The 20,411-nt window shown below is 39.7% G+C and overlaps 1 protein-coding gene across 1 annotated transcript, besides 3 other annotated features; it reads left to right on the forward strand.

Moving 5' to 3' along the window:
- Positions 346–903: an enhancer, noted in NCBI's record as "OCT4-NANOG hESC enhancer chr1:197859970-197860527 (GRCh37/hg19 assembly coordinates)". NCBI's record gives its function as "activates a minimal SCP1, AML or CMV promoter by ChIP-STARR-seq in primed H9 embryonic stem cells {active_cell/tissue: H9 hESC(primed)}" and the evidence as "EXISTENCE:reporter gene assay evidence [ECO:0000049][PMID:30033119]".
- Positions 12,021–12,170: a silencer, noted in NCBI's record as "silent region_1663". NCBI's record gives its function as "represses an Ori minimal core promoter by ATAC-STARR-seq in GM12878 lymphoblastoid cells {active_cell/tissue: GM12878}" and the evidence as "EXISTENCE:reporter gene assay evidence [ECO:0000049][PMID:35858748]".
- On the forward strand, positions 12,136–16,868 carry C1orf53 (chromosome 1 open reading frame 53). Its single transcript, NM_001024594.3, has 3 exons — positions 12,136–12,419; positions 15,302–15,403; positions 16,655–16,868. The coding sequence occupies exons 1-3, from the start codon at positions 12,156–12,158 to the stop codon at positions 16,724–16,726; spliced, it is 438 nt and encodes a 145-aa protein (NP_001019765.1). The 5' UTR covers positions 12,136–12,155; the 3' UTR covers positions 16,727–16,868.
- Positions 12,341–12,590: a silencer, noted in NCBI's record as "silent region_1664". NCBI's record gives its function as "represses an Ori minimal core promoter by ATAC-STARR-seq in GM12878 lymphoblastoid cells {active_cell/tissue: GM12878}" and the evidence as "EXISTENCE:reporter gene assay evidence [ECO:0000049][PMID:35858748]".
- Positions 16,869–20,411: the final 3,543 nt, after the last annotated feature.

Raw genomic sequence — 20,411 nt, forward strand, 5'->3', positions numbered from 1 at the left:
GCTGAGACTACAGGTGCCCGCCACAACACCTGGCTAATTTTTTGTGTTTTTAGTAGAGACGGGGTTTCACTGTGTTAGCCAGGATGGTCTCGATCTCCTGAGCTCATGATCCTCCCGCCTCGGCCTCCCAAAGTGCTGGGATTACAGGTGTGAGCCACCACGCCCGGCCCAGCAGGGCTTTTTCTATAGAAATCTTATGAGACAAGGATTAAGGTTCATTTTCTTTGGTAAATTCTCTAGAGATAATTTATTTCTCTCTTGTTTCTCTCAAGCAACCACGGATTTTACCAACCTAAGAGAAGTTCTTGTTATTGGATTTTACTGGACTAGGGTTTTCCTGATGTGGGTTTTACTTAGGAAACATAAGTTTTAGTCTCAAACTCATGTGTGAGCGGACATCTCTTCATAAATTTTCAGGGGAGCTTAGACAGAGATAGACAAGTGTTCTGCCTTGTCCCATGATTGGCAGGCAGATTTAGTTTATAGTACACCCATTCACCAAGGGCCGGGCTGTGACTAAGGTATGTTCCTTACTTGCTTCACCCTAGTGCTGGCCTGACTAAGGGTATAGCTCTTTGAATGTTCCAATTTTACAAAGGGATCTTGGCTTAAATTCCTCGCCTGGCACAGACCAAGGCTCTTACTCCTGACTCCATTCAGATGCTAAAACCCAATCATCATGGTTACAAAGACTGACAAATTTCTCCAGGGCAACAGTAGTGCCAGAGACAAATTACCTCTCTAATGCTTAGCTCAGTTTTCAATTTTTAGTGCCTAGATTTTCTCTACTTTATGTAGGCTCAGCTATACATTTTTAAGATATAGTTTTAATTTTCCATTTTAAGGATATCTGCTATGCCATATTCTTGGAAACCAAAATTCCCTTAAGAAAATCTTTCCCAGTAGTCTCCCTGCAGAATTTCCTCTCATGTGTCATTGGCCACTTGCTTGCATAAATCGATCAATGGCAAGAAAAGTGTGGTTTCCAAAATTTAATTAAAGACTAGTGAGGATTTACCTCAGGGACACATAGGAAAGTGATGGACAATGAAACAAAATTGGGGAATGGGGAAATAGCTTTTGGGGAGACAAAAATAGCATGTCTGCAATATGGATAATTTAGGGGAGACTGGGCAGATTAGTCTGACTAGAACCTTGTGTTTGAATTAGAAGGCAGCAGAACATAAGACTGAAAAGGTATTTCAGGCGTCAAGGTGTGGGAGTACCACAAAAGCCTAGGTAATTAGTTAATATTTTATCCTACATGTACAGTTGTGATATTGAGGATTTCTGAACCAGAAAACGACAATAAAAATATGTGTACTATTTTGTAAATAGTGTTGAGAATGAATTAGAGAGAGAAGAGACTAGAGGCAGTAATTATAATTTAGGGAGCTTTGCAGTAACTTAGGCATGAAATGATAATGAACTAAACCATGTTAAATTATAATAGAAATTCAAAGGAAGGGAGACAAAGTATGAGAGAAGAATAAATAGAATTTGGTGATTCAGTTGGATATAGGATAAGTTACGGGAGAAAAAGGCAAGTATTTGGTGCCCTTAAATATATTTGATAGTGTGATAAAGACCAGTTCTCTCATTTGTAAAATTGAGATGATTATATATTTAATACTTATCTTAAAAGAATGTAAAAATTATAGTTTCTGAATGTACTTCAAAAATTATGTAAGACTATATAAATATTAGGGCATCTCGACCATATATAAGGATTTAATTTGGGTACTGCAACAGGAGCTAGTAGGTGTGTCTCTATTCCTTAAGGCTGTTATAGCTCGTTGTGTTGGGAACTGCTGGGAGAAGGGACATATACATTTTCCTGTGTTAAAGAAAGGTGTGAAGAGCAAAGGATAACAGTGGTAAGTCAGGAATGCAAAGTAGAGTTGAAGAATGAGGGAATATGAATGGTGAGTGAAGTAAACTCACTTCCAGGCTGAGTAGGTTATGTATCTTTCAGCAAACCTAAAGGATATATCTTACAAATAATTGCAGCAAAAAATAAAAGGAGCCTGATTTCTTGGATTACTACTTAATGGAAAACTGTCCAGGAGAACTGACTGATGAGAAATATCAACAATTGATTTTGGATAAGTAAAAAATAAACTTTTTCCCCTTTGCAGCTTTATCAAGGTAGAATTGACAGAAGCTTATATTTATGGTGTACAATGTGATGTTTTCCTATATGTATTTATTGTTAAATGATTAAATCAAGCTAATTTGCATATCCAACACCTCACATTTTTTTTTTTTTGTGGTGATAACTTTAAGATCTAATCTCTTTGCAATGTTTCAGTATACATTATTGTTAACTATAGGCACTATGATGTACAGTATATCACTAGGACTTACTCATCTTGCATAACTGGAACTTTGTACCCTTTGACTAATACCTCTCTGTTTTCCCCTCCCCCAAATCCCTAGCAACTATTCTATCTCTGCTTCTTTGAGTTTGACTCCTTTAGATTTCCCATATAAGTGGTATCATGTTGTCCTTCTGTGATTGGCTTATTTCACTTAGCATAATGTCCCCCAGCTTCATCAATGTTGTCCCATATTGCAGGACTTCCTCCTTATGGCTGAGTAGTTCTCCATTGTACATATATACCACATTTTCTTTATCCATTCATCTGTTGATGAACATTGTGGTTGCTTCTATGTCTTGGTTGTTCTGAATAATGTTGCAATAAATATGGGTATCTCTTCAAGATCCTGATTTCAATTCCTTTGGATAAATAACCAGAAGTGGGATTGCTAGATCATATTGTAGTTCTATTATTAATTTTTTGAGAAGCCTTCATATTGTTTCCCATAGTGGCTGTACCAATTCACGTTCTCACTGACAGTGTATGTTAGGGTTCCCTTTCCTCCATATCCTTGCCAACACTTGTTATTTTCATTTTATTATTATTGTTGGATAATAACCATCCTAATAGATACAATATCTCATTATAGTTTGGATTTACATTCCCAATTATTAATGTTGAACACTTTTAGCTATATTTACAAAATAGAATCCTATACATGATGAAAAGGAATGTGCTAAAGCTACATGAATTAACATAGGTGCATCTCACAAAGTTAACTGAAAAATCAAGTTTTATAAGGTTGTATAGCTGTATGAAATCATTTATGTAAAGTTGAACAACATAGAAAGCAATACTATATTGCTGAGGGATACTATATTGTTGAGCAATACTATATTGTTGAGGAGCAATACTACATTGTTGAGGGATATACATGTAGTGAAAGGGATATATGGTATCTTAGTCTGTTTCTGCTACAACAAAATATTCGATACTGGGTAATTTATAAATAACAGGAATTTATTTATCACAGTTCTGGAGGCTGGTTAGTCCAAGATCAAGGTGCCAGCAGATTCAATGCCTGGTGAAGGCTGCTGTTTCCAAGATGGTGCCTCTTGCTGCACCCTCACATGGGTGCAAAAGGGGGACAAAAAGGAATGAACAAAAAGGGGGACAAAAAGGAATGAACACTGTGTCTTCACAAGGCAGAAGGGAGGGAAGGGTAAAAGAACCTAGCTACTTCCCTCCAGTCTTTTTATAAGGACATTAGTCCCATTCATGAGGGTAGAGTGCTTATGACCTAGTCACCTCCCAGAGGCTCCATCTTATAATACCATCACATTATTGATTAGGTTTCAACACATAAATTTTGGAGGACCATATAACTAAAGCCATAGCACACCAGAAATGATAAATTCAGAATGTGGGGAGAAGAAATATGCTTGGAGTGGTATGCACAGGGAGTTAAAACTGTGTTTCTAATGTTTTCAACTGGGTAACAGGAATATGGGTATTGGTTATACTCTCTTCATATTTGTATGTGTGTTTGCATATCCATAATAAAATTTAAGAGGCACAAGAAAACTCATCCTTCCTCTTTCACTGGTGTGACAGTCCATCTGTATTGCTATAAAGGACTACCTAAGGCTGGATAATGTATAAAGAAAAGAGGTTTATTTTGGCTCACAGTTCTGCAGGGTGTACAAGAAACACAGTACCAGCATCTTCTCCCGGTGAGGCTTCAGGAAGCTTCCAATCATGGCAGAGGGCAAAGTGGGAGCCAGTGGGAGCCAGTATTTCACACGGTGAGAGAGCAAGAGCGAGGAGAGGAGAGGAGAGAGAGAGCACACGAGAGGGAAAGGGAGGAGGTGCCAAGCTCTTTTAAACAACCAGATCTTCTGTGAACTCATAGAGTGAGAACTCGCTCATTGCTTTGAGGACAACTTGAAACTATTCATGAGGAATCTGCTCCCAAGACCCAGACACCTTCCATTAGGCCCATCTCCAACACTGGAGGTCACATTTCAACATGAGATTTGGAGGGGACAAAACATCCAAACTATATCAACTGAACATTGCCATGTCTGGATATGATGCCTGAAACTGCAGCAAGCCAGGCTGTCATTCTAAGGCAAGCAATAAGAGTATCACGTGGGCTCACTCAGAATGCCAGGGCAAAAGACAAAGAACTTAGGTCCTTGGGGCTGCTACAAAGCCATTGAGCCAGGCTACCCTGCAGCACTTAGCTCTGGACTTCTTGTTTTGTGACATGATCAATGTTCTCATTTTATGCAAAGAGAGTTGCCATTTGCTGTCACTTGTAACCAAAAGCATCCTAATAGCATCCACAAAAGCTCTCTTCTTCAAATCTTTTTCTTGCTGAAAATAAGGTGTTCATTCATAGCTCTTAGCAAAATTATAAACATTCTTTAATACTCAGTTCAAATTCTTCTTCTGTCATACAACTTTTTCTCACCAAGAAACTTATAAATATATCTCCCTATTCTGAATACCTTTATCACTTACTGTCCATAACTATTTAGGGCTACTCAAGGAGTGTTATTTATATTGTTACAGTCAATATGCTTTGGAAACATGATCTCTGGAATCTTAACATATAACTTTAGCTCACTGTACAAAGCTTTTAATTAATGGAAAAATCTGCTTGATTATGTATGTATATAACAAGCTTTTGTCATTTATTAAAAAAAAAGTCATCATTCAAACAACCTAAGTCTCATCTCATTAAGGATTGATGGTAAAACAGGCAACTATTAAGCAGCTGAAGGCTAACATACAAAAAGGCTAAAAGCACAAAAGTGGTTTCCCAGTTCAGTAGTAACAACAGCTAATATTTATGAGCTCCCACTATGTGCTAGACACCATGACAGATGTTTTATATATACTATGTCATTTAACCTTCACAATAATTCAGCTTTGAGATACTATTCACATTCCACAGAGGAGGAAACCAAGGTTTAGTTTAAATAATCTCAATGTCACAGAATTAGAAAGTGGATAGGTTAAGATTCAATTCACGTCTTCATGCCTTCAAAGACAATGCTCTTTCAACATTCCATGCTACCACTCAAGAACATATTCATTCAGTGAATTATGGGTGAGTCACTGTCCTTTACAGTGGAATAAGATGATAGGCAGAATATACATGTTTCTGTCATAAAACTTAGATTGTATATGAATTACATAATTATGTTACAAATGTACCACTGACCATTTCAGAAATCACAATGTGGGCATAGCACTTATATTTTGCAGCACTCAGTCAGCCATGAAACTTTGCTTTTTCTATTTTTATTGGTCCAACAATGCAACACAAACAGGTTTAGTTCATAATAATGCTGTCTGAAATGTGCCATCAAAAATATCATCAGATGGAACAACTGATGTTGATGACATTCTTACAGAAATATACAAAGAAAAAAACTCACATAGCAGTAGTACAGTTTAACTGCACAGAAGAATCACATTCCACAGGATTTCAAAGATGCATCAATTTCAATTTTACACCTGTAGAAAACCTAAAGGGGTTGTGCATGCTGTGTTGATCACTGAGGCATATCACTTGTGCCCACCACTGGGAAGATATTAACATGTATCATACTCAGTAGACTAGTCATACACGTCAATGTCATGGATATTTGACCTAAAACTCAGTGTGCCTTTCATTCCAGTCATGGAAGAGTGGACATGGTTTTCTCCCTCAGGCAGCAACATGAGTGCAGAGAACAACGCTCTGATTTGTATGTTGTATTTATGGCCTTAACCAAGATCTGTTACAAATGTGTTGGTATGTGGGAAATCCTACAAAACAGTGGCTGCCCATGCAATTTTAAAAGCATGATGCTAATCCATTTATCTTAATAATGTAAAAATTCTTCCTTTTTTTTTTTCTAATGATGTTCCTGGAGATTTCGCTGTTATACTTAATATACCTAAGAGTAGGTTTCATCTCTAATACTTGCATAACAAAAGGGCTAGAAGTAATTAGTCTGGATATTTTATGTGACAGTGATTGTGTACATGTAGTTTATAATTGAAATGATTGTTCAGGGTTAACAAGGCTACACTTCACTGTCAACATACACTTACTTCATTTGGAATGCAGCTCATACACTGCAGTTATCATTAATTCAATGACTTTGGGGGAACTTACTAAATAGATTGCCAAATAAAATCACAGTTATGTTGTTATTTTGGTATATTGTGTCTCATAAACAATAGCCAGAGAACAACTAATGTATTTGCAAAACACAATACTGCTTCATAACCATAAAATATTAAGGAAAAATACATTTCTATAATTTATTTGCTATGTTACTCATATGTAGGTTTTTGCTGCCATTATTCATTCATCTATTCATTTAAACAAGCATTTTTTAAGCATTTCCTACGAACTTGTGCTACTGGAGATACAGATTATTAAGACAATCTTTATCCTTAAAGACCTCACAGTCTGGCAGTAAAAACTCATAAACATAAAATTATACAATAGGAAAGTGCAAATGTAGAGTCATGCTTTGGATATTATGGGAGCCTTGGGGTGGCGTGCCTAGCCAGCCTGCAGAGAAGACTGGGGAAAGCAGACAAGGAGCAGAGTAAGCAGTCAGGAAAAGCTCACTAGAGAAGGTGACGCATAGGCTTAGGCTTTAAAAACAGGTATAACTTCATCAAAGACATGAGCTGAAGACTGAGGTGGAGATGAGAATAGGGTATTTTTTGTCAGACTAAACAGCATGTGCAAAATGTGAATAATAAATCTCCAGCACTTATCAGAGTGCCCTGATACACAGTAAGCCCTCCTTATATATTATTTCCATTAAGAAACCATTCTGTTATAGTTGTAGTCAGGGGAAAGAAATGATAATGATAAAGATAATGAACAATGATAGAAGCAAAGGAAAGGACCAACTTGAGACTTTTTGAGAAATTACAGACAATTTAAGACTTTAACTGCAGACAAAACTGACAAGAGTTGGTGATGGTCTGGATGGGGAGATGTAGAAAAAGTGTAGAATTACTCCAAGATCTCTGAATTTGATGAATGATTGGGCACCCATGCCTTTAAAATTGAAAATAAACGGGAAAGTAAGATTTCAAAGGTAATGGTGATTAAGTCTGTTTTGGACACGATGAGTTTGGGGTAATTTTAAACATCTATGTCTAGCAGGCAGATGGCTAGATAGGTATGTTGCTCTCAAAAGCTTTGAACCTGATGAAGAATCATTACATGGTAATAGATTAAAAACATAAGCATGGGTAAAATCACTTGGAGAAGTATTATACAGTGAGAGCAGTGGGCTGAGAATTGCTGAAGAAATCTGAAGAAAATCAACATTTAAGGATGAAGAGGAGAGAAGAAGCGCTTTTTAAAAATTCAAGGAATAATCCTAAAAATAAAAAGCAAATTTTAAGAATATGGGGTCCAAGAAGTCAAGAGAATAGCTTTGAGGGGCAGACAACTGACCACCTTAAAGTACAAGCAGTGTTAGTTAGGGAACTACTGTATAAGTGCACTGGATTTAGTAACACTTTAAGTTGGCAGTGCAGGTAGAAGCCAACTACCATTCCATTAGAGAATGACTGAGTGGATGAGGAGATGAAATGGCTAGATTACTTCATATCATATAGCTCATCTATACTTGTCCAAAATAACAAAAACAAAATGGAAAGATGGGCGCCAAATGCAGCAGTGCTCTAGGCATGTAACACTGGCGGAGTAGCATCTTCTGTGAAGTCAGCAGAGATTTGCTGGGCTTGCAAATAGAAATGGTTATAATTCCCAAAAGAATTTTCTAAGACCAGCTCTGTGAAACAAAGTGTGCCACTGGATGTCCGATTAAATGAAACAAAGATTCCCTATAGGCAACCTTAGGGGCATGTAACATTTGCTCTCAATCATAAGAATTGATAGTGAAAATCCACTCTACGTGGAGCATGACACGTCATAACACACCATTCGGCTATTTGGAAAACATGAAATACATAATCAGTGTCCAAATGGAAGTGTGCAAAACAGGCAGTAAACGGACAAGAAGTCTGTTGGTAGCTCTGTGGCTCCAGCAATAATTTGTCCACTACCAGCTCAATACATTCATAATTCATTAAAAGATAACACTTAAAGTCAATTAAAGGTAGCATTTCAAGGGCTTAGATCAGATCATTTAATATATGCATCTGTCTTGTCTGTCAGTAAAATAGCTCGCTTTATTTAATAATATAATTTAATAAGATTTCAGATTTAGTACCTCTTTTCACTTAGTTTTTTAAAGAAATATTTGCAACTATATATGTTCAAATATGCAATACTATGTATAGAAATTTAATATTAAAATTTCATGACATTTTTGTCCAGTAATTAGGAATATGTATTTGAGAATAAAAAACTGCTGACTCATTTATCCATTCAAAAATTCATTATTCATTATTCACTATGTGCCATAATACTTTCTGCAGAAGTACAAGTTGGGCTGTAGAGATAAAAAGATGAAAATGACATGTTCCCTATTATCTTATGATCTGTTGGGAAAACAATGCAAAAAATATAAAAAGTTGAAATGGCACAAATAATTGTGAGAAATCAAAAAGGAAGGCTTCTAGAGGGGACAGAGGAACATAAAAAAACTTTAAAAATGAACATTTAAATACTAAGTATTAAAAAGGACTGGGTGGGCTGGTGGAATTTTCTTTGCTTTTGAAAGTCACGCTGTAGTGGACTTTTGTGAACTGTGTCCTCAGCACTAATACAGGCCATTTTCAGCAATAGGTTTGGGTTGGTTGCCCATAGGCAGATCCAGGGATAGGCCCTGATTGGCTTAAGTATAATCTATACTCAAAAGACTGGTTCTGAAATGGGCACATGATAAAGATATGGCTGACGGGACTTTCAGAAGGGAAAAAGGGCTTCTCTTATCCTAGAGCTTCATAACAGGACTCTTTTTTTTTTTTTTTTTTTTAACTTGGACAAGGACCAGAAAGGATGAAACCATGGGAGCTGTCTGCAGCTATATTTCACCAATGAGAAAAACACCTGCCTGAAAAGAGAATTAGCATTGAAGAGACTAAGCAGAAAAATGAAAACCAAGCCCTGGTGAATCCTGAATCAAGTCATGCTTCATGGTTATATGAGCAAACACATTCCTTTTATTGTAACCAGATTGAGTTGTATAATCTATATCTTGCAACCTAGAGAGTCCTAATATACCTATTTAAAAATTAATATCAATGAAATCTAGGGGAAGGCATTTCTCTGATCACCTCACCTCCATCATAACAAGCATGTTCAATGTTAACACAAGTATCCCAAATGATATAATAAATGTTATAAAATATATCAACTATTACATGTTACACACAGAGTTGTGGCACAAAATGACTCTTTCTAGAGCAAATCTAAATGTAAATGCTTTGTAAATAAAGTTCAAACTTTATGTACCACTCTAAGGTGGGACTTAGTGCCCCACTTTCATACAGTTTTGTCTACTTTGAGCACAGAGAATCTGAGAAATGAACACATGATAGAATAAGCTAAGGGTAAAGCCCTGAGGAGGCTTTCTAAAACAAGAGACATAATGAATGAAAGTTACTTGGTGAGAAATGACACCGGCTCTAAAGTATGACGATCAAATGAAAATTGAAGGGGGCAGGTAATCTATTCAACATCTAAATGACACTGGGAATGGAGAAGACAGAAAAAAAAAAGGTTAATTTTGGTTAATTCAGTAATCTCCTTACCAAATAATCTGAAATCCATTTCTACATCTCTTTAAAATTGCTGTTTTTAAGCCAGGTGTGGTGGCTCACACCTGTAATCACAGCACTTTGGGACGCCGAGGCGGGAGGATCCCTTGAACCTACGAATTCAAGAGCAGCCTGTGCAACATTGGGAGACCGCATGTCTACAAATAAAAAGTTAGCCAAGCATGTTGGCACACACCTGTAGTTCCAGCTACTCAGGAGGCTGAGCTAGGAGGATGACGTGAAATCAGGAGTTAGAGATTGCAGTGAGCTATGACTGCACCACTGCACTCTAGCCTTGGCAACAGAGTGAGACTCTGTCTCAAAAAAAAAAATACTGTTTTTAAATTTTGAAATAATTACAGGTTCACATGCAGTTGCAGATATGGTACTGTGTTTACTTCACCCAGGTTCCCCCAATGCTTACACCTTACATGCTTACAATATGAAAACCAGGGATTTGACATTAAAACAATGTATGTATAGCTCCATGGCATCTTATCACATGTAAATTTTTGTAATCATCATAGTCAAGATACAGAATTATTCTGTTACCTACAAGATCTCTGTTGTTCAAGCCCTGTACAGTCCACTTCCACCCTCTCATCTTCACCAAAAGAAGTTTCATGTAACAATATGTACTCTTGTACATATGTATCTATATAAGATATGTATCTATATAAGATAGTTCCATTTATTTTCTATTTAAATCTGGTCTAGTCTATTTCATTCCTGTAAAATGCTGTCTCTACCCTTTGAATCGATGTCATGGCCTATTAGTGGATCCTGATCCTTAATTTTAAAGACAATGCAGTAAATCAATCTCAGGTTTTTGTTGGTGCGGGGACCTGACTTATGGTGAATGTGAATAACATCACAGTTGTTCATTTTTGGTGATCTCATGTTTGGTCCCACTCTTCCACAGCTTTCTCTAGGGTCCCTCCTTCGCTTTCCAGATTTTAAACTCTCCTCAGATTACTTAACAGTCTCCAGATCCTAATTTTTTATTCCAACAAAAAGAAAATCAATTTGCAAAATATAATACCAATTTATTAATTCACTGAGATTTTTAATGAACCAATAGGGTTGTTTCAATCACCTCCTACTAAGATTTAAGAAAATGAAAATATGACTACAGGGTTGCATGGTAAACACAGAAACCAAAAAACACGTAGTGATGGTCTATAGTGGCTTAGTCGCCTTTCTCCTGTACAACTGAATAATCTACTTTTGTCCTCAAAGATCAATTCCTGCCCTCCCAGTATTGAAGAGCACTAACAAAATTGGTACTCTTCAGCCCTCCTTTTCTTGAAACCCAGACGGGGGGTAGGAAGATGGGGTGGTGTTAATTTAATCCTAACACCTGAAATTACTTCCCGGGCTTGCCGTAATTTTCTCAAATACAATTATGTGACGGTATCAAGATCACTTTCATCCATCAGAAAGGAGATAATAGTTTTAGGTTGGATTTTGTAAATATTCAGCAACATGAACACAACACCTTTTCTTATTCAGTGTGCGATTTTACTTTTGGCCCTTATTCTAGGGTGGGCCAAAGAACCAAGCAAAGAAGGCTCCGCTTCCACCTTTATTCCTATCACATACTACCTGGAAACACTCAGCCTTTTCTGGATAGGCCCAAGGTGGTTATTCACAAACCTCGGGTCTTTTGATCACTTTCTGGGATCTTAACAGTTGTGGAGATTATACTGAATGATCCCAAGTCCAGTCTGACATAACAAAAAATGTCCACCTTTCAGCTGGGTGGGCGCGGGGGAAGAAGGAAGAGCTTAGAATTTAAGTCCAAAGATGTGGAAACACCAGGCTCTTCCCCGTCCAGGCAGCTCATCAGAGCCTCGTTAGCTGCCTTAAAAGCCCATTTTATTTCCGCAGCGGGCCCGCTGGTGAAGGCAGAAGGCTCAGTCCGTCCGCCTCCACCTGCTGCCACGGCAGCGCGAACCGACCCCACGCAGCGATGGCCACGAGCTGCCCAAGACCGGCTCGCCGCGCCCAGGCCCGCGTTGGTCGCCCCTCCGGGCCCCAGCGCCGGGTGCTCCGCCTCCCAAGGCCGGCGGCGGCATGGCGGCCAGGCAGATCTGGGCACGGACGGGTGCCGCGCTCTGCAGGCAACCTTCCGCCGCCCCGCCGCCAGCACCTCTCTGGGTAAGAGCTGGGTTCCGACAGCAGCTCAGCTTAACCCTCTGCCCTGCTAACGAGGGAAACTGCGGCGGCTCCGCGCCCAGCACGCCCGGTAGGCCGGAGAGAGCGGCGAGGCCTTCGGTGAGCGAAGAGTTAACCGCGGCGGAGCGACAGATCGCGGAGCTGCACGCTGCCGCCTGCGCGGTGAGACTCCCTCCTGCCCGCCCCGCCCCGCCGCGGCCGCCCCGGGCTCGGCGCGCCTGCGCATCCCGGGCCTCTCCGGACCCGGAGGCCGCCCGGCAGAGGCAAAGGTTGCTGGATACCGGTGCGGTCCTGCCTCGGGCGACATTCGCGCACGCACACGAACTTCCAGCCCCGACATTTTCGCGGGAAACCTGTGTCTGTCTTGAGTATGAGTGTGATTTGTTTTCCGATCAGCGTCCGAGCTAAACTCCGGTCGCAGTGTGGGACCCACTACCACTCTTTTGTGGTGTATGTGTGTGTGTGTTGCGGAAGGGGGTGTTAAGGAATTGATGGAGAAGGTGGAGGGACTGAGAAGTCACAACAAAAATGTGTTGTGTGTTTTTCTGCATTGTCAGTTGAACACTTAGCAATCCAGTGATTCTTAGAGTGAGAAAAAAAGACATTGACACATTTATTTTAATTTTTCCATTGCCTTCTTGTCCTTTCTCTTAACTCTTAACGGAGCAGAGGGAACTACAATCTGGCATTTGTAGACACTCAGCTGTTTTCTCCTGTTTTGCGGATTTGACAATTGTCTGTTAGTACCAGTATCTAAACTTCTCTCCCTTTACGCCTTCTAACACAGTCTGCGTGAGTTTAAAGGCAGCATGGTTACCTTTACAAAAGAAACAGTGAGAAAAAAAGAGAAACTGACTATAATAAAGATAGAAAAGCAGTATGAAATGAACCCATTTAATAAGCTATGTGTGTGTGCCTCCAGTACTTGATGGGACTAATATTATATGGTATGACTTGAGCCAAAGGGGTAGAGAAGAAAATCCCGGAGGTTGCCTAAAATTGACTTATTTAAATAATGACAGTTAGTAGGCCCTGAGAATCCACTGTCGGTCTGACCCATTCAAGTGCTGAAACTGAATAAAGACTCATTAGGAAGTGACTGGCAGCTTTTGATTGTTCTTGTTTATGCTCTCCTTTTAAAAATAATGTATATAATTTGTTCTCATACTTCGCAATATAGATATGGTGGATATTAAAGAAAAGTGTCATTCTCCTTAGAGCAAACACCAGTATCATGTGAAGAAATTTTCAATCAGTCTAGGGAAGGAAAGGAACTTTTTCTCACTCGGGAAATTCACATTTGTTTCATCAGTGTCAGTATCACAGGTTAAATGACTATCCAGGTGACCATAAGTAAGCCCAGTAAATAACAAGCTGCTTGTTTTTCTTTTTCGACAAATCTGAGCCCCCTCACTATGGTCCTTCTTCCAGCCTCAAAGCAGATAGCTCTCTTACCTTTCTCCGGGTACCGATGCGCATCACTGAGCATCTTGCTCTCCAGTCAAACTGTCAGCACCCTTGCTTCATCTTTGTCTGTGGCCACCATTACGTGAGGCTCATTTACTGAGGACAAATTAAGTTTGTGTGGGCAGCCAGCAAGCTCAGAGGTGCTCAATCAACATGGAAAGCTGTAGAGCAGGGGCATGCGCAGGAGCAATCTGTTAGGCTTCCAGGTTGCCAGATAATTGCCCTCAGAAGACTCCCAGAAGCTATGAAAAGTAAAAAGAAGCCTGCTACAGAGTTCCTAGTGTTTTTTTGTTTTTCTTCCAAGTCTCCAAACACGAGCTTCGTAAATAAATAAAGAAGTGAGGCCCTGACAATCGGTCATTCTAAGGTAGTGCTGAGTGCTCCTGATTTCATGTAATCTGCTTCTGTGGTCTCCCTGGACTTGGGAAGTCTCTCTCAGACCAGCCTTGGGACTTGCTCGGATTTCTGCTGCCCTGTCCTGCTCTAGCTTTGCTGGGATGCCTTAGAGTGAGGCTAGATTTCAACTGTACCCGTCCTTTTGCTACACACTTTTCTCATGAAACATATTGGGTTAAAACCTCAACCAGAATAAAATATTCTGCCATTAAATGAGACACTGAAGAAGTTGTTGGTGGTTCATACAAAAATGTGTTTGTCAGAAGACATGCAAGTTTCATGTGTATTTTAATGAAAAAAACTCTGTACAAGATTGATGCACTGAGTTACTGCGTGGTAAAAAGGTTATACAAAAAGTCCATGGGAGTTCCTCTACAAAAACCCAAGGCTAAGTAATATCACCCCAAAGACCCAAATCCACAGAAAAGATTATGTTATTTACTTTTCCCTTCCCACAAAGTACTTGAGACACCGTTTTAAGTCATGTTTGAATGTAGATAGAATATACTTCCTTGACATTTGAAATAGTACAATAAAAGTTTCTTTTGATCAAACTTGTGAAAGCTGTGAGTGTTAATATGTTAAAACAATACTTTTTTCACTTAAAAATACAACTAATAACACACCAGCAAAAAAAAAAATAGTATAAAATGTGCAATGAAGTAACACATGAAGGTAAAGAAAGTGTTCAATAATAGCAAAGGTAATACTTTTCTATAAGGACCGTTGGTTTTGATTAGCGCCTTTTCTGTAAGTTTAAATCATTATCCACATATTTTAAGTACTGAAATTCCAACTGCAACTTCTGAGTGAAAGTTCATTTTCAGCCTCTTAAGCTCTTAAAATCATTTAAATCACCTGTTATTAAGCTTGTTACCTAGAAACCAAATGAAAAATATCAGAGCAGTGGCTACATAGTTATTAGGTACAGAGGAGTTCTTGTTTTTCCATCAACTTCTCATTTTTCTCAAACTGTATATTTTCTCCTTATGTCACATAAAGTTGGATTGTGTATAATGCTGGAGTGCATTTGGTCTTTAATTGCAAGTGCCACTAAAACTGCTGGGAAGAAGTTTAATATTGTTTAAAATTTTTCTGCAGTATTTTATGTGTAGACATTATGGTGAAGAGATATGATGAATATTGAGATTAATGAATTGTTTCATTTTATTGCACTTCAGGCTGGCCAGCTAAACTATGTGGATCCAGCTACTGGCTATGTGGTGCTCACACAGATTGCCCACTTGCAAAGAGGTGAATGTTGTGGCTCTGCGTGCAGACATGTGAGTAGCAATTCTTGCATTACAGCAGCAGTTTGCGGTGCTTCTGTAACTTCGTAAATACCTATTATTTGAACAACAAGTCAAATAAAAAACCAAATAGACCTGGAGTGAACTTTTCACAAGCTACTTTAGCCAACGACAATGAAGTCCTTAGTACCAACATAGGACTTTTAAAGTTAATGGAATTTTGTAAAGTTTCACTGTGAGCATCAGTTCCTTGAAATGCTGTGATTTGAAATTCATGGGAGCTCTTTATTACAAGGAAACTTTTCATGGGGTTTCAAATAAGTTGTTTTCATTAGGCAAGTACAAAGAGGGCAGGAAAAGAAATCTAGAATGTTGCAGATGAGATCCCTCTTCTTTATTAGTTGAATAAATAGAAACTCGCCCAGCATTGAGAGGTAGGTTTCCTTCAGATAATGATTTTTTCTTTTCTTCTTTCCTTCCTTCCCTCCCTCCCTTTTTTCCTGTCTTCTTTCCATCTCTCTCTCTCTCATTCTGTTCCCCACCCCCCGCCACCACCTTCCTCTCTCTGGTCCTTTCTGTGGCTCTTTTCCAGTCTGTGTTTGAAATAACTGTGAAACTAGATTATACTGCATGTAGTGCCTGTACATTTCCTAAAATGTTTATTTCAATAGATACCTCTCTATGTTCACTAATTAAGATAAACAAACCTCTCCTTCCTTATTATAAGCAAAAAATAAATGGGAATGAATCCTTCACTATTACTTTTTAAAGGCATAGTAGTGAGGTAAATTGTTATAGGGTCAAGATTATAAACAGTAACAACCTCTGTTTACAGAACACTTTGTATGTTTTGGTGCAAGAAGGTGTAATTTCCTTTAACTAGCCACTCTATAATTAAAGAATAGACACTAAATGCATGTATTAACTGTAGCCAGGATTAAAAATTAAACCTTCCGTTTTATGTATGTTCCTGTGCCCTTAGCTGTTTCTAATCAAATGCATAAGAGCTTTTTGTAAATTGAGGATTTGAGGATTTTCTAAAAGTGGATTTTTTGACAGTAAAATTCTTAAATTTGGAAGGATGAATTTAGGAAATGGTTCTTGGACCCTAATTAGGATCATTTGCCTGAGGTTGCCAATATTTTTCTCTTAGTCTGCAGGACCTGATAGTTCAAATGATCTATATAAAATTGTTAACAGTCTCTTTTTGTCACCATGAGAAGTGTGCTTTTTCAAGATGATTGTTAAATAATTTAATAATAATTTGTTTTATTTCTTCTGCAGTGTCCATATGGTCAAGTCAATGTTAAAGATCCATCTAAAAAGAAGCAATTCAATTCATATTTTTATGTTTGACAAGAATTTCATCTCTGTTCCCTAACTGTGCTTGTATTTTTTAAAAAATAAAGCCCCAATTCAGAATTGCTGGATTATTAGTACTTGAACACTAGTTTAATCCTAAATACATATATTAAAAGAACATCAATAAAATGAAAAAGCTAACAAATGTTTGTGTGTTTCTGAAATGGCACATTGATCGTTATTTTCCTTTCTTTTTGCCTCATTATCAGACACATATGTTGAAGAAAAATAATGGCTGTTCCATTAAATAAATAGTAGCAATCGGGTCACATTAGTAGCTCTTGGTTTTTCTTAGCCTCCGTTCTCCTACTGTTTTCTCATCAGTGTTAGCAATCCCAGGGAGGTTGCTGGCAAATAGAAGAGTTTTGATATATTCTTCATTTTATTTATATCTTGAGCTATACGGAGATTATAATATATCGTGCAGCATGTGAGTGCCCAAGAAGTGCCATCCTGCATCAAGAAATGCTCTCATCTTCCATCTGTTCTTTCAATAAAAACTTTAAATCATTTTGACTTGAGGGTCAGGCAGCTGAAGATGTGTCACTTAGACCATCCTTTCTTTTCTCCCCCACCCTTTCCTCCTGTATTTCTTTTGGCACTTCCTAGGCAAATCTATCTTTGAACATTTTATTAGCTGTACACTTTTTCATTCACCACGGTGATGCCCCTGGGCATCAGTCTCCAGCCTGAGTCAGGAGCTTACAGGAGCTTCTTTCCACACCTTGTCTGCTTCTTATGAGGACAGCAGTCCCCAGGAAACCCTTTGCTAACCAGTTGCAGCTACTCAGAAAAATGTGGGTGCTTCCCACTTGGAAGACTGGCTTTGCCCAGAGCTGACTCCCAGCCTTCCCTCAGTGGAATCTGAAAGGTTCTCAGACATCTCGGGGGTCTGCCTCAGGTTCTGCCTGTGGCCCAAATAAGAGCTTTAGAAATCTTAAGCAAACAAAAGGTTTTGGTACTTTCTCCCACATTCAATTCAAAATAAAAGCCATTCTTAACCGTGAAATGAGTGAGAAGAAGCCCAATAAAGTTCTAATTTTCCTCCTGATTATGTCTTTTATTTTTAAATGTCAACTATTAAAATGTCTCCCCAAATTGTTGGCTTTTTTGTTGCCCTACTTTTGCTGGTGCTCTAACCATGGTGCCCAAGTAACACTGCCCATGAGCCCTGAGAGGTAACAGCAGGATGTAAAAGAGTAGTGTCTGTGGACTGGTACTGTCCTATCTGGAAATTGCTTTTAGAGGAGTAGGAGAAGGTGATCAGCATTGTGATAATTGAAGCAGTTTTCCAGAAAAGCATAGGGATTCCTGGGAGCCAGTTTCCTTTCCATTTTTTGGTCAAGAAGCAACCAGCTATTTCCATGTTTTCTGCTCCATTCTGTGTGTGGGATAGATAGATAGTGTTTCTTTAACAGCCCCCTCCCCCCGCAAGAGAGAAGAGTCTAAAATGTCATCTTTCTGGAGAATGGTGGAACGAAGAAAGGAAATTCATTTTGAAAAGGGGTCTGAAGTAAGACTGTTCTGAGAAAGCCCCTTAGCAGGTAGAAAGATGCCTCCTTCCTACCCGCAGCTCTTGCCTCTTCCCAGCGCACTTCCTGTAGTAGGAAACTGGCTGAAAAAGAAAGGATGTTTGTCACGGAGGACCCTGATGTGGGACGTTCGTAATTCTTACCCGCAATTCTTCCTGGCAGAACTTCAAGCCTTGAGGGCAAGAACAGCAAAGGAGCCGCTGGAGGGCTGCGGCGGGGACTAGGGAAGAGAGATGCTTATAGTCTTCCGTGCTCCTGGAGCCAGAAGGAGGGCTGAAGTTTGCTGTAGTTCTAGAGGAATGCATGCGAACTACACGTTAGAGGTGGCAGCGGGGGCGAGTGCTCCCACATTAAATAAAATATGGCCACATAAATGGGTCTCCCTGTAAGAGCTTTAAGCTATATTGTATTTGCACATTGTAAAGTAAAATTCAGGTTTCTTATTAGGTGTGTGTATACAAACACATGTGGATGCCAAGAAATAGAGACTTTAGAGTTTAAATCAACTCTGGTGCTGCTTCACTTTCAAGGTTTCTGGAGACTCCTTCTGCCCCAGGGTGCAATAAATCAAGGGAAAATGATTTTTAGATTGTTTCGTATGTGAAACGACCCAATGGAAACTGGGGAATCTTGTGAGGGTTGCCAGGGTGGGGTGTGAAGACAGATTCCTGCAGCGTTGATTGTCGTGGCAGGTGGATCATGATGCACACTCCTGTCTCTTCAAGCAGCAGCACTGCCCCCACTGTTTATTCAGAGCAGGGAAGAGAAGGGCTTTTATTTTTTTCAAGTAAAATTTAAGGTTTTCAAACAGGGTGTGTTTGAAACAGACAGCGCCCTGAGAAGTGGAGGCGCTCTCTGGGCCTGGCGCAGGTCTTTGTTCCAGCGCAGCACCCCTTCTCCAAAGGCACTGGCAAAGTCTATTCCGCACACACAGTTACACTGTCAGAAATCTGCGGATCTTAGATTTGTCTCCAGACAAGGCTGGAGAAGAGAGCTCACTACCAGACAAATGGCAATTGGCATGTTGCCTTCCTATGAGCACTTTGAGATCCCACAGCCCCTGGCTAGTGCAAAAGGAACCTCGCCCTCCACTCCTTGCTGACACCTGCCATTTCATCTTTTCTAACATTCAAGCCATAGCTTGAGTTTGTGGAATGGATGTCTGTGGTGGAGAAGTGAAAAATCGGTGCTATTTTTTCATTATCATGCAAAAATTAAGACATAATCCTGGATACCAAAACTCCTCTCCCATCATTAAAAAAGTAAGATATTTAAGTCGGGGGTGGAGGGCAGAGAAAGTCTACATCCTTTTTGCGAGTCTCTGTGAAGAGCCTGATTTCTGAGAAAAAGGTTGGGGAAGAACACGCAGCTGTCTTTAGCCAGAGACTGAGCTATCCCTGGAATGTCCAGCGTACCCTGGACCTCTGGATGCTCTGATGTGTGCTGGGGTGCCCAGGGCACTGGGTTGACCTCTGTCCCCACAAACAGCTTCGAGGTTGGGCTCATGACACAAAACGCACAGATTCACGGCTTTCCTTCCTGACACTGCAGGCATAAAAGACAGTGTTAACCAAAGAATCATGGACTCTAGAGGAATTGGAAGATCCTTAACGACCACATCCTCCTAGCAGAAATTTGTATTCTAAAGTGTGAGCTTTGGTGCGCGTTTCAGTGTGCGTGCGCCTGCGTGTGTGTGTGTGTGTGTGTGTGTGTATAGAATGCATGTCGTTACCAAATACCTAGAACGGTATTGGACCGCAAAGAGGTTAAACCCGGTTGCTTTCGACAGGAATGAGTTGAAAGCACCCAAGCGTTTTCGGGTGGGTATCGCCGTCCATCCATTCGATGGCCTCGCTGATGAGCATAGAAGATGAACCCGGGAGGACTGTCCCTTCCTGGCTGCGAAACCTGACCGATATAGGGGAGATTCTAGAAGAAAGAGCTAAGGAGGCCAGGGCGGAAAGAGGAAAGTCAGGTGTAGGGGAGATTAAAAGGTAAACTGGTGGGACTGACCGGGCTGGTGGGACTAGTTAGCGAAGCCAAGTGTTTGGGTAGAAACAGAGATCTTGTAGGAGGTGCTCCGAGCTACATTTCGGGATTTGGGATGAAAAGAGAAAGCCAGGGGGTTCGCCGCTCCTGGTTTGTTC

The sequence above is a fragment of the Homo sapiens genome, chromosome 1, assembly GCF_000001405.40.
Source record: "Homo sapiens chromosome 1, GRCh38.p14 Primary Assembly".
Classification (NCBI taxonomy): Eukaryota; Metazoa; Chordata; class Mammalia; order Primates; family Hominidae; genus Homo; species Homo sapiens.

Bases quoted from the DNA above. Each gene is read 5' to 3' on its own strand.
- C1orf53 (NM_001024594.3), top strand. From the start codon at position 12,156: ATGGCGGCCAGGCAGATCTGGGCACGGACGGGTGCCGCGCTCTGCAGG. The intron at 12,420-15,301 runs GTGAGACTCCCT...ATTGCACTTCAG, and splicing joins TGCACGCTGCCGCCTGCGCG to GCTGGCCAGCTAAACTATGT. The intron at 15,404-16,654 runs GTGAGTAGCAAT...TTTCTTCTGCAG, and splicing joins GTGGCTCTGCGTGCAGACAT to TGTCCATATGGTCAAGTCAA.